The following is a 13,958-nucleotide window of genomic DNA, read 5'->3' as shown; positions in this document are numbered from 1 at the left end:
AAAATCTTGTTTGGGGCTTTGTATTTGAGGAAAGGGGAAGCTTATTTTCTCAAATAGGGAGAGGGTGTAAGCATTTGATTCAACGTTCAACCAGCAAAACCAAGAATCACCAGTATTATAGCTACCACTTCCTCTAATCTAGGGTTATTACTCGTCCTGAAAATCCATGCACCAGAATCATTATTAAAGTACAACTGGGGATTTTTTTGGATGCAATTTTTTCAACAAATCATCCAAAATATTTTTTAAAAACTTTTATACACATTGTCTAATTATAATGTCAAAATAATGTGCTACAATTACTTCTGAAGACGTAGCACCCTCAAACATACTCTTGAGTAATATAGAATACATAAAACTCAGACTTTTTTTTTTTTTGAGACAGCGTTTCACTCTTGTTGCCCAGGCTGGAGTGCAGTGGCACGATCCTGGCTCACCGCAACCTCCGCCTCCCAGGTTCAAGCAATTCTCCTGCCTCAGCCTCCCGAGTAGCTGGGATTACAGGCAGGTGCCACCATGCCCAGCTAATTTTGTATTTTTAGTAGAGACAGGGTTTCTTCATGTTGGTCAGGCTAGTCTTGAACTCCCGACCTCAGGTGATCTGCCCACCTTGGCCTCCCAAAGTGCTGGGATTACAGGCGTGAGCCACTGCGCCCGGCCTACAACTCAGAATTTTTAATACTAATTTAAAATTGAGTCTATCGAGATAATTCATGTATACATAATTTGCTACGTAGGACACTTTTCCCCTCAAAAAAAGAAAGCGTATTCTCAATTACAGAATATCTCAAAAACAGCTCAAAACAATTATTTTAGTTCTTTTCATGTATTTAGAACCCAAGATAAATTATGTACTACTTGAACTGGTTACGATACAGGCATCTAGCAATTATGTCTCCCTGTAGCAAAATGAAATAAATATGAGGAACTAAGAAATGTGTTTCTCTTCTAATAGATAGCAAATGACTGCTTCACATTAGACCCAAAAAATTCCTTGAAAATAATAGCTGCAACCCAAGCCAGCCAGGTAATATCCACCATTCTAGTAGGTTTACATGCATTATTCACTTAAATTCTATCAACAACCTACTGAGGTAGGTATTATTCTTGTATAGATAAGAGATTCAGAAGGCGGGTGTAGTGTGAGCACCTGTAATCCCAACACTTTGGGAGGCTGAGGCAGGGGCATCACTTGAGCCCATGGGTTTCAGACCAGCCTGGGCAACATGGTGAGACCCCATCTTTACAAAAAACTTAAAAATTAGTCCAGGTGCTTTGGGGCACACCTATAATCTGAGCATTCTGGGAGGCCAAGTGGATTGCTTGAGCCCAGTAGTTTGAGACTGGCCTGGGAAACAAAGCAAAACCCCATCTCTCTACAAAAAAAATACAAAATCTTGAGCAGACACCGTGATGCATGCCTGTGGTCCCAGCTACCCAAGAGACTAAAGTGGAAGGATTGCTCAAGCCCGGGAGGTTGAGGCTGTGCTGAGCCGTGACCGCGCCGCTTCATTCCAGCCTGGGCGACAGAGCAAGATCCTGTCTTAAAAAAAAAAAAAAAAAAAGAAATATGAGAAAAAAACATTCAGAGGGATGATGGTTGTCAAGGTGAGGTGTAAAAACACATTTATTTGAATTTAGAAAGAAAGTAACATTTTTTGTCTTAAAAAATATATTGGTAAGATATGCTGAAATCTTTAATATATCTATTTTCTCAACTCTTTCTAAATAAATTGGATGGAACAAGGTACCCAAAGGAATGAGTAACAAACATAATCAACAGTCATTTGACACATCTTGAAGAGCTTCTATTACAAGTCAGGAAGCTTCCAATTCTTCACTTTTGATAAACCTGGAGATTCTAATCAAGTTATTAGTTTTTGTATCAGTAAAAATGTTTAACAAATGATTGAATAAACAAATAAAGGGGAAGAATAGATCAATCCATGCAGAAGAATTCAAAATAATTTATATAGATACCCTGGCTTCAAGGAGGTATAGCCACCCTCTCCTTAGTTGTGGGCTATGCATATTCCTTCCAAGGAGTACAGAATGAAAAGTTCAGGAAAGAGCAACTTTACAGTGGAGAAAAGCTAAAAATATTATTTCAGGCAGGTGATGAAAGGTATCCCATCAACAGGGATAAGCCACACTGATAGTAAATACTTCAGATATGACATAATGAAAATGGCACATTACTTCTCTGGTCTTTCTCTCCCAAACCTATAACCCTAGACTAATCATGAGAAAACACATAAGAAAAATCTCAACTGGGGGACATTGCACAAAATACCTGATCAGTACCCCCCAAAATTGTCATCAAAAACAAGAAAATTTATAATCAAGAGTTGCTTAATAGCTAGGTATGGTGGCATACACCTATAGTCACAGCTACTTGGGAGGCTGAGGTGAAAGGCTCACTTGAGCCCAGGAGGTCGAGGCTGCAGTGACCTGTGATCACACCGCTGCACACCAGTCTGGGTGACGGGAAGACACTGTCTCAAAGACAAGAGACAGAGACACAGACAGAAACAGAGAGAGAGAGAGAGACAGAGACAGAGAGAGAGAGGAGTTGCCCATGAAGACATGACTATTAAATATAATGTGATGAGCAGGGCACAGTGGCTCATGCCTATAATCCCAGCGCTTTGGGAGGCCAAGTGGGGAGGACTGCTTGAGGCCAGGAGTTTGAGACCAGCTGGGCAACTTAGTGAGACCCCATCTCTACAAAAAATTTAAATACATATATGTATACACGTACATATATAGATATATATTTATATGTATGAAATATTTTGGAGCAAAACAACGACAGGTAAAAACAAAGGAAATGTGAAAGCGTATGGACTTCAGTTACTTATAATGAATTAACATTGTTTATTAACTGCAACCAATGAATGACACTAATGTTAGGTGGTAATAAAGAACCAGAGTAGAACTAGGATAAGTTAAGAGTAGGGATTCAGGCTTGAAAATCTATTCCTAAGTGAACATAGGGAAATGAGAATCATATACATTATTGTTTAGTAAATACAGCTCTTCAAAATGACGCATACATATTTCTTAAAGCTCTAGCTAAAGACAAAGAAACTGAATATAAGAAAGATGATTTTTTACATGTTAAAAGACAATACATAATTTTATTTTACTAGGAGCAAAGACAATAAGGAGATTAAGAATAACTCCAAAACCAGATTCCTCCTTACCTCACATTCTGAGTAGGATTCCACCTTTCAGAAGGCAGTTCTCCACTCTGTGGGTCATCTACAGGCGGATGAAGAATCGAAATGCATACATCTCCATTCTACAAGACACAAACATTACATTCAGTAAATACTCAAAAAGTGATGTACAAAAAGGGACATCGGTTCTAAAGTTTCCTTTATTCCTAGAAACTGTTTCTTCATCAAAGGAGAAAACAATTCTGCTTTTTATGTTCAACATCAAAGATAAATAATAATTAAGCATTTTAAAAGTATTTATTTTGACCAATCTCCAAGGTATATTTTCTAGTGAGAAGACTTACTATTCCTATAGAACAATCCTGATGAAACAAACGATCCCTATGTTTACTTAGGAACATTAAAATATAATATTTATTTCGACCAATCTCCAAGGTATATTTTCTAGTGAGAAGACTTACTATTCCTATAGTACAATCCTGATAAAAAATTGACTGGGGCTGGGCGCGGTGTCTCACGCCTGTAATCCTAGCACTTGGGAGGCCAAGGCGGGTGGACCACCTGAGGTCAGGAGTTTGAGACCAGCATGGCGAAACCCCATCTCTACCAAAAATACAAAAATTGGCTGGGCGCGGTGGCTCACGCCTGTAATCCCAGCACTTTGGGAGACCAAGGTGGGCAGATCACAAGGTCAGGAGTTCGAGACCAGCCTGAACAACATGGTGAAACCCCGTCTCTACTAAAAATACAAAAATTAGCCGGGCGTGGTAGCACTCCCCTGTAATCCCAGCTACTCAGGAGGCTGGGGCAGGAGAATCGCTTGAACCTGGGAGGTGGGGGTTGCAGGGAGCCAAGATCGCGCCAATGCACTCCATCCTGGGCAACAGAGGGAGACTCCGTCTCAAAAAAACAAAAACAAAAGACAAAAATTAGCCGGGCGTGGTGGCACGCGCCTGTAATCCCAGCTACTCAGGAGGCTGAGGCAGGAGAATCGCTTGAACCCGGGAGGCGGAGGTTGCAGTGAGCCAAGATAGTGCTCCGGCCTGGGCAACACAATGAGACTCCATCTTAAAAAAAAAAAGACAAACATAATAAATCAAGACTCAATTGTCTTAGAAGCAGCCAAATATATATCCCTTTGTTTTCAGATATATCTGTGTACCTAGAGTACATAAAAAGGAAGAAAAAATATCTAACCTTGCTTAATATCTACTCAGATAGATGCTATGTCAATAACCATGACTTATATAAACCAAAAATATGCCTCGCAGCAAATGTTAACATCCTCAAGGTATGGTTAGAATGACTTCCCACTATGGCTATTATATTTTGCTTCATAAACTTAACACAACTTAATCCACAAGTACATTTAGGTTAATTCATACACATATGGATTGCCCACCATGTGCAATACAGAACACAATTCAATAGAAAAGATAAAGTTAGGTAAAATACAGTGACTTATCTCTTGGACTTAGCCTAACATGGAAGGTAAGATTTATTTATTTATTTAACTTCTTTCTGTCTTTAGAGATGGGAGTCTCACTATGTTACCTAGGCTGTAGTGCAGTGATTATGCATAAGACAACCATGGTGCACTGCAGCCACTAACTCCTGGCCTCAAGTGATCCTCACACCTCAGTAGTCCCATAGCTGGGACTCTAGGGTGTGCTACCACACACGACTTAAGATTTATATTTTTAAAAAACTGGAGGTATAACTATATAAAGTGCAAAAATCTTACATATACAACCCAAATTTAGACACATAGAAACTATATGAATATATATGTAACCATTATCAATATAAAATATTTTTAAAATAAAATTAATACAAAATATTATATTCTAACACACTGCCTTATGGTTAGATACCATAAGGCATGTAAAAAGTTACTACAGATAAAAGAAGAGAGAGGCCAGGCATGGTGGCTCACATCTGTAATCCCAGCACTTTGGGAGGCTGAGGCAGGCAGAGCACAAGGTCAAGAGTTTAAGACCAGCCTGGCCAGTATGATGAAACCCCATCTCTACTAAAAATACAAAAATTAACTGGGCGTGGTGGCACCTGTAATCGCAGCTACTCAGGAGGCTGAGGCAGGAGAATCCCTTGAACCCGGGAGGCAGAGGTTACAGTGAGCTGAGATCACGCCACTGCACTCCAGCCTGGGCGGCAGAGCGAGACTCCATCTCAAAACAAAAACAAAAAACAAAAAGAAGAGAGCCGGGCGTGGTGGCTCACGCCTGTAACCTCAGCACTTTGGGAAGCCAAGGCGGGCAGATCACCTGAGGTCAGGAGTTCGAGACCAGCCTGACTAACATGGAGAAAACCCATCTCTACTAAAAATACAAAATTAGCCAGGCGTGGTGGTGCATGCCTGTAATCCTAGCTACTCGAGAGGCTGAGGCAGGAGAATCACTTGAACCTGGGAGGTGGAGGTTGTGGTGAACCGAGATTGTGCCATTGCACTCCAGCTTGGGCAACAAGACCAAAACTCCATCTCAAAAAAAAAAAAAAAAAGAAAAAAGAAAAGAGAAACTTGGTATATTTGGGCAGTGAATGCGTGGGAGGTGGGGTGGAAGATAAAAGGCTTTGTTGTTGAGGAAGCTTTGAGATGAGCTTTCCTTTAATAATAACAATTTAAACAACCTATGGGAAATGTAGAAATGAGTTTTTCTGGCCAGGTGCAGTGGCTCACGCCTGTAATCCCAGCACTTTGGGAGGCCGAGGCAGGCAGATCACTTGAGGTCAGGAGTTCGAGACCAGCCTGACCAATATGATGAAACCCCATCTCTACTAAAAATACAAAAATTAGCCGGGCGTGGTGGCACGCACCTGTAATCCCAGCTACTCGGGAGGCTGAGACAGGAGAATCACTTGAACCCGGGAGGCGGAGGTTGCGGTGAGCCGAGATCACACCATTGTACTCCAGCCTGGGCAACAAAAGCGAAACTCTTGTCTCCAAAAAAAAAAAAGAGTTTTTCTGAATCCCAGCACTTTGGGAGGCCGAGGCCAGCGGATCACGAGGTCAGGAGATTGAGACCATCCTGGCTAACATGGTGAAACCCCGTCTCTACTAAAAATACAAAAAATTAGCCGGGCGTGGTGGCAGACGCCTGTAGTCCCAGCTACTCAGGAGGCTGAGGCAAGAGAATGGCGTGAACCCAGGAGGCGGAGCTTGCAGTGAGCTGAGATCGCGCCACTGCACTCCAGCCTGGGCAACAGAGCGAGACTCCGTCTCAAAAAAAAAAAAAAAAAAAAAAAAAAAAAATTAGGCCACAGAAGTATGCTACTTGGTTCAGAGCGTAATATATATTAAAAAAACAAACAACAAAAAAAAAACACAAAAAACACAACCTTCTTAGTAGTGGAATGAACTCAACAGATTTGCATTTCAAAATGACATATTAGAAAATAGGCATCCAAATTGACACAGACAATGGATTTGACAAAATCTAACACTCTTTCATGATAAAAACAATCAGAAAGCTATGAATAGATGGGAATTATCTTAACATGATAAAGGGCATTTATTAAAAACCCTCAGTTGCTAGGCACGGTGGCTCACGCCTGTAACCCCAGGACTTTGGAAGGCCAAGGCGGGCAGATCACCAGGTCAGGAGATCAAGACCATCCTGGCTAACACGGTGAAACCCCGTCTCTACTAAAAATACAAAAAAAAAAAAAAATAGCCAGTCATGACACAGCGCCGGTAGTCCCAGCTACTCAGAAGGCTGAGGCAGGAGAATCGCTTGAACCCAGGAGGCGGAGGTTGCAGTGAGCCGAGATCGTATTACTGCACTCCAGACTGGGCGACAGAGTAAGACTCCATCTAAAAAAAAAAAACCAAAAAAACCCACAGCTAACATCATACTCAGTGGTGACAATGGTGAAAGACTAAAAGCTTTACTCCTAAGATCGGGAGCTTGACAAGGATGCCTGCTTTCACCACTGCTATTTAACATTGTACTGGAAATTTCTAACCAGAGTATTTAGACAAGGAAAAGAAAAAAAGGAAACTGAGTTGAAGGGGAGAAAAGCATCTTTATACACAGATGACATGATCCTATATAAGAAAGCTACAAAAGCTAATAAATTCAGGAAAGTTATAGGATACATAATCAAAACTCAGTCACTTTTATTTTTATAAACTAGCAAAAATAACCTAATAGGATATTATGAAAACAATTCCATTGATAATTGTCATTTAAAAGAATAGATCTGGCCAGGCGGGGTGGCTCACACCTGTAATCCCAGCACTTTGGGGGGCCGGGGCTGGCAGATCACTTGAGGCCAGGAGTTCGAGACCATCCTGGCCAACATGGTGAAACCCCGTCTCTACAAAAATACAAAAAATTTGCCAGACATGGTGGCTCATGCCTGTAATCCCAGCTGCTCAGCAGGTTGAGGCAGGAGAATCGCTTGAACCCGGGAGGCAGAGGTTACAGTGAGCTGAGTACGAGCCACTGCACTCCAGCCTAGGCAACAGAGCGAGACTCCATCTCAAAAAAAAAAAAAAAAAAAAAAGAGAGAGAGAGAGAATAAATCTAGTCATGGAAGGGAAAAGACTTGTACGTTGAAAACTACAAAACGGTGCTCAAAGAAATTTTAAAAGATCTTAAAAAATGTAGAGTTACGATGTTAAGATGGTTCTATTCCCCAGTTTGATCTACAGGTTCATTCAACACAATCCTTATCAAATCCTACCTTCCCATTTTACAGTTATTGACAAGGTAATCCTAAAATTTATATAGCAATTTAAGGGACCCAAAGAGCCAAAACAATGTGGAAAAAGCAAAAGTTGGAGGATTCACACTTCCTAATTTTAAAAATTACTACAAAGACAACCATGTTGTTCAGTACTGGCATAATGACAGACATATAAACCAATGGAATATAATTTACAATTGAGAGTCCAGAAATAATCCAATACATTGATGGCCAATTGATTTTGACAAGGATGCCAAGTCCATTCAATGGGGAAAAAACAGACTCTTCAATAAATGGTAGTGGGACAACTGGATTTCTACAAACAAAAAAATGCAACTGAACTCCTACCTCATGTCATATACAAAAATTAACTGAAAATAGATCAAAGACTTGGAAATAACTGCACTTCATTAAAATGGAAAACTTTTATGCATCTAAAGGACATTATCAAGAAAGTGAAAAGGCAACCTATAGAATGGGAGAAAACATTTGCAAATCATATATCTGATAAAGGTTTAATATGTATAATATATAAGGAATTCCTAAAACTCAGTAACAAAAAGATATCCATTTCAATAATAGGGAAGGCCAGGTACAGTGGCTCATGCCTGTAATTCCACCACTGTGGGAGGCTGAGCGGGGAGGACTGCTTGAGGCCAGGAGTTCCAGACCAGCCTGGGTGACATAAAGAGACAAGGTCTCACTTTGTCTCTCAGGCTGGAGTGCAGTGGTGCAATCTCAGCTCACTGCAGCCTCTACCTCCCGGGTTCAAGTGATCCTTCCACTTCAGCCTCCCAAGTACCTGGGACCACAGATAACAGCCAGCAAACCTGGACAATTTTAAAATTTTTTTTATAGTGATGGAGTTGCGCTGTTACTCAGGATTGTCCTGACTTCTGAGCTCAAGCAATCCTTCTACCTTGGCCACACAAACTGCTGAGATTACAGGTGTGAGCCACCACATGTGGCCCCCCCCAAAATTTTACTAGTCAGGTGTAGTGGCACACACTTGTAGTCCCAGCTACTTGGGAGGTGGATGTGGGAGGACTGCTTGGGTCTAGGAGTTTGAGGCTGCAGTGAGCCATGACTGGGCCACTCCAGCCTGGGCAACAGAGCAAGACCCCATTCCCCAAAAATAAATGAAAAATAAAAAATGAGCTAGGACAGACATTTCTCCAAAGAAGGTATACAAATGGCCAATAAGCACATGAAAAGATGCTCAACATAAGCCATGTGGGTAATGCAAAGCAAAACCACAATGAGCTACCACTTTACACCCACTTAGGATAGCTATATTTTGTCCTTTTTTTTTAAATATAGAGATGGGGATCTTGCTATGTTGCCCAGGCTGGTCTCAAACTCCTAGCCTCAAGCAATCCTCCTGCCTTGGCCTTTAAAAGTGCTGAAATTACAGATGTGAGCCACTGCACCTAGCCTTTTTTAAAGAAAAGGAAAATAACAAGTGTTGGTAAGGATGTAAAGAAACTGGAACACACACACACTGCTGGTGGGAATGTAAACAGTTCAGCTGCTATGAGAAAAAATTTGGCAGTCCATTTAAAAGATGGCTGGGCACAGTGGCTCACATGCCTGTAATCCCAGCACTAACAGGAAAATGGGTTTAAAAAAAAAGAAAAAAGAAGGAAGAAAAAGTCAGCTGGGCACAGTGGCTCACACCTGTAATCCCAGCATTTGGGAGGCCAAGGCAGGTGAATCACTTGATGCCAGGAGTTCTAGATCAGCCTGGCCAACATGGCAAAATCCCGTCTCTACTAAAAATACAAAAAATAGCTGGGCGTGGTGGTGCACACCTGTAATCCCAGCTACTTGGGTGGTTGAGGCACGAGAATAGCTTGGGGCCAGGAGCAGAGGTTGCAGTGAACTGAAATCCTGACTGCATCCCAGCCTGGGCAACAGAGTGAGACTCTGTCTCAAAAAATAAATAAATAAATAAATAAAAAGTTAAACATAGAATTCCCATTTAACCCCACAATTCCACTCCTAGGTATGTAACCCAAAGAACTGAAAACAGGTACTCAAAAACTACATGCACATGCATGTTCAGAGCAGCACTATTCACATATACAAAAGGGAGAAACAATCCAAATGTGTCCATCAAAAGATAAATGTAGAAACAAATTGTGGTATATCTATATAATGCAATATTCTTCAGCCATGAAGAGGAATGAAGTACTGATACATACTACAAGGTGGATGAATCTCCAAAATATTGTGCTGAGTGAAACAAGCCAGACACAAAATGTCACATACTATATGACGCTATTTATACTAAATATCTGCAATATGTAAATCTATAGAGACAGCAGATGAGTGGTTGCCAGAGATTGAGGGAACATGGGAACGGAGAGAAATTACTTCATATGTAGTGTATTTTAAGTTGGAGTGATGGAAACGCTTTACCACTACATAGAGGTATTAATAGTTGTACAACATTATGAACATACTAAATGTTATTGAATTGATTATTTATTTACTTATTTATTTATGAATGAAGGATACAGTCTTGCTCTGTCACCCAGGCTGGTGCAGTAGCATGATTATAGCTCACTGAAACTTCGAACTCTTGGGCTCAAGGGATCTCCCTGCAAATTGTTTACTTTAAATGGTTAATTTTATGTATGTGAATTTCATCTCAATAAATTCTTTTTTTTTTAATAAGGAAGTTATTGGACTCTAGAATGGGGATTCTAAAAGATAAAATGAAGAATTATCTAGCCTACACCCCATCCAAATCCAATTAAATAAAAATTTCCAGGATTCTTTTTAATAACTTCTCCACATGATTCTGATATATGGCCAAATTTGGGCATGTCAATACTTAGGAAACCTTTTCCCTATATCTTAAAATGTTAAGAGAAAATGGATAAGATCTGTAAATCCAAGAATTACATAAATATGCATAAAATCCTGCTTGTGACAAGTTATTTACAAACCAGAGCTCAGCTCTGAAAAGTACAAATTTAGTGGCCTAAATACTAATATATTCTAAATGATGCCTAATGTACCATATAGATAAACCTATAAATGTATAACCCCATAGAGGAACTTATAAAAAGCTCCATACTGTGTTCTACAACACACTATTAATAAAATAATCAGCAATTTTTTTCTCTGAACTTTCCCCTCAATTTTGTAATGAACCCAAAACTGCTCTAAAAATTAATGTCTATTATAAAAAATGTTTAGGTACTAATGAACAGTGAAATTCTATGTGTTGCCTTATCTGTGAAGTCTGTAGTAAAGAAAGTGTTATATGAACTCTCATTGTAATACAGTTTGTGAAAAATATGGTGCTCATTAGTTGTCTACTTTTTAACAATATGACCAGAATGTAACCAGTAACATATATATTAAGGCTCACTAAACACAGTGCAAAACAGAAAGGAAATAGATTGTGCAGTACCATCACTGATGACAAATTCGCAAAGCAGAAAGGAAATAGATTGTGCAGCACAATCACTGATGACAAATTCCTATCAAATTTCCTTAGTTTTCCTAGTTCTCCATTGATACTAATGAATTTCACAAATATGGTAATGATGAAAATATAAATATATATATGCACACACACATACATATACACAGTTCACTGCAGCCTCGACCTTCTAGGCTCAAGTGACCCTCCCACCTCAGCCTTCCAAGTAGCTGGGACTACAGGCATGTGCCACTACGCCTGGTGAACTTGCCTCAGCCTCCCAAAGTGCTGGGATTATAGGCATAAGCCACTGTGCCCAGCCAACAACAACAGAAAGTTTTGCAGCTTTAACTCAAGGAGAAGACAATTTTAAAATAAATCCACTCATGTAACACAACAGTTATTTACAACTTTTGGGGGCTGCAGTAATATATCTATACATTTATTTAATAAACTGTGACCAAAGCGCTTGTCTTTTGATTTATTTATTTATTTATTTTTTGAGACAGGAGTCTCACTCTGTTGCCCAGGCTGGAGTGCAGTGGTGCAATCTTGGCTCACTGCAACCTCTGCCTCCTGGGTTCAAGCGATTCTCATGCCTCAGCCTCCCAAGCAACTGGGATTACAGGTGTGTGCCACCATGCCCAGCTAATTTTTTCTATTTTTAGTAGAGGTGGGATTTCACTGAGTTGGCCAGGCTAGTCCTGAACTCCTGGCCTCAAGTGGTCCGCCTACCTCGGCCTCCCAAAGTGTTAGGATTACAGGCGTAAGCCACCACACCTGACCACACCTGTCTTTTTAAAAACATAAGAGCTGGGTGTGGTGGCTCACTCCTGTAATCCCAGCACTTTGGGAGGCCGAGGCAGGTGGATCACGAAGTCAGAAGTTCGAGACCAGCCTGGCCAAGATGTAAAACGGCGTCTCTACTAAAAATACAAAAATTAGCCGGGCAGGCACCTGTAATCCCAGCTACTCAGAAGGCTGAGGCAGGAGAATAGCTTGAACCCGGGAGGCGGAGGTTGCAGTGAGCCAAGATTGCACCATTGCACTCTAGCCTGGGTGACAGAGCAAGACTCCATCTCAAAAAAAAAAAACAAAAAAACACAACAACAACAAAAAACATGACATAAGAAACTATTTTTGGCCAGATGGGGTCTCTAGATCTCTATTACCACAAATACCAACACTGGTCCTCAAAAATTTCAATTCTGATACTATTTCCATACTGCTATGAAGGTTAATAGTCACGTGAGAAGAGTTTCTTATGATTCCTTTGACAACATCAAATTTAATTCCTAAATATGATTTGTCACTTCTTCCCCCAACCACCCCGTCCCTGCAAGACAGAGTCTTGCTCTGTCGCCCAGGCTGGAGTACAGTGGCATGATCTCAGCTCACTGCAACCTCTGCCTCCTGGGTTCAAGCAATTCTCTTGCCTCAGCCTCCTGAGTAGCTGGGATTACAGGCACCTGCCACTGCGCCTGGCTAATTTTTGTATTTTTAGTGGAGACGGAGTTCCACCATGTTGGCCAGGCTGGTCTCAAACTCCTGACCTCATGTTCTGCCTGCCTTGGCCTCCCAAAGTGCTGGGACTACAGGCGTGAGCCACCGAGCCCGGCCTTAGCTCGATCTCAGCTCACTGCAACCTCTGCCTCCCGGGTTCAAGCCGATTCTCCTGCCTTATCCTGCTGAGTAGCTGGGATTACAGGCGCGTGCCACCACACCCAGCTGATGTTTGTATTTTTAGTAAAGACGGGGTTTCACCATGTTGACCAGGCTGGTCTTGAACTCCTCAACTCAGCCTTCCAAAGTGCTGGGATTATAGGGTGAGCCACTGCGCCCGGCCTATCACTTCTTTAAAAACAAAACATTTGTGTGTGAAAAATATCTACACATTTATGGGATATGCATGCATTTTATTGTAGAAAAATTCATTATGAATATGGAAAAAATTTTATATCATGATCTAATGGTATCTCTTGAAAGAACTAAATAGCCTATGTACTGAAAAAAAAGTGGAAAGGGGAGTGTAATTACCTACCTACACTTCTTTCCTGTAGAGCTTTGACTCCTTTATCCTATTTTTCTGTTTCTTTTTTGAGAGGTGTTTGGGAATTAGATAACTGAGATGGAAATAGTATGTATATGGCTTTAAGAGCAATTAACTCTCTGCTGGGTGCGGTGGCTCACGCCTGTAACCCCAGCACTTTGGGAGGCCGAGGTGGGAGGATCACAATCAGGAGTTAGAGACCAGCCTGACCAATATGGTGAAACACTGTCTCTACTAAAAATACAAAACTTAGCTGGGTGTGGTGGTGCACACCTGTAGTCCCAGCTACTCAGGAGGCTGGGGCAAAAGAATCCTTGAAGGGAGGCAGAAGTTGCAGTGAGCTGAAATCATGCCACCACACTCCAGCCTGGGTGACAGAACGAGACTCCATCTCAAAAACACAAAAGTAATTAGCTCTCAATTGCAAGACAAAAGTTTGCTCCTTCTCACTTCTCTCTTGCTATCTAAAATCTATATATACACCACGTAACTGTAAAGGCAAAAACCTTTAATTATTAGACAGGGACATTGTTATGGTCTGAATTTTGGTGTCACCCATGAATGGGATTAGCACCCTTAT

At 41.0% G+C, this 13,958-nt stretch overlaps 1 protein-coding gene across 5 annotated transcripts in view; it reads right to left on the bottom strand.

The window, feature by feature from the left end:
* Positions 1-13,958, bottom strand: part of UBE2R2 (ubiquitin conjugating enzyme E2 R2) — a 105,232-nt gene that overhangs the window by 16,922 nt on the left and 74,352 nt on the right. For all 5 annotated transcript variants that reach the window (XM_047423541.1, NM_017811.4, XM_011517949.2 and 2 more), the window contains one exon: positions 3,207-3,304. In XM_047423541.1, the coding sequence (XP_047279497.1) occupies positions 3,207-3,304 (98 nt within the window). The remainder of the gene's footprint in view (positions 1-3,206; positions 3,305-13,958) is intronic.

The sequence above is a fragment of the Homo sapiens genome, chromosome 9 (assembly GCF_000001405.40).
Source record: "Homo sapiens chromosome 9, GRCh38.p14 Primary Assembly".
Classification (NCBI taxonomy): domain Eukaryota; kingdom Metazoa; phylum Chordata; class Mammalia; order Primates; family Hominidae; genus Homo; species Homo sapiens.
Note: the sequence above shows the minus strand (reverse complement) of the source record. Positions and strands in the feature narration are given on the sequence as shown.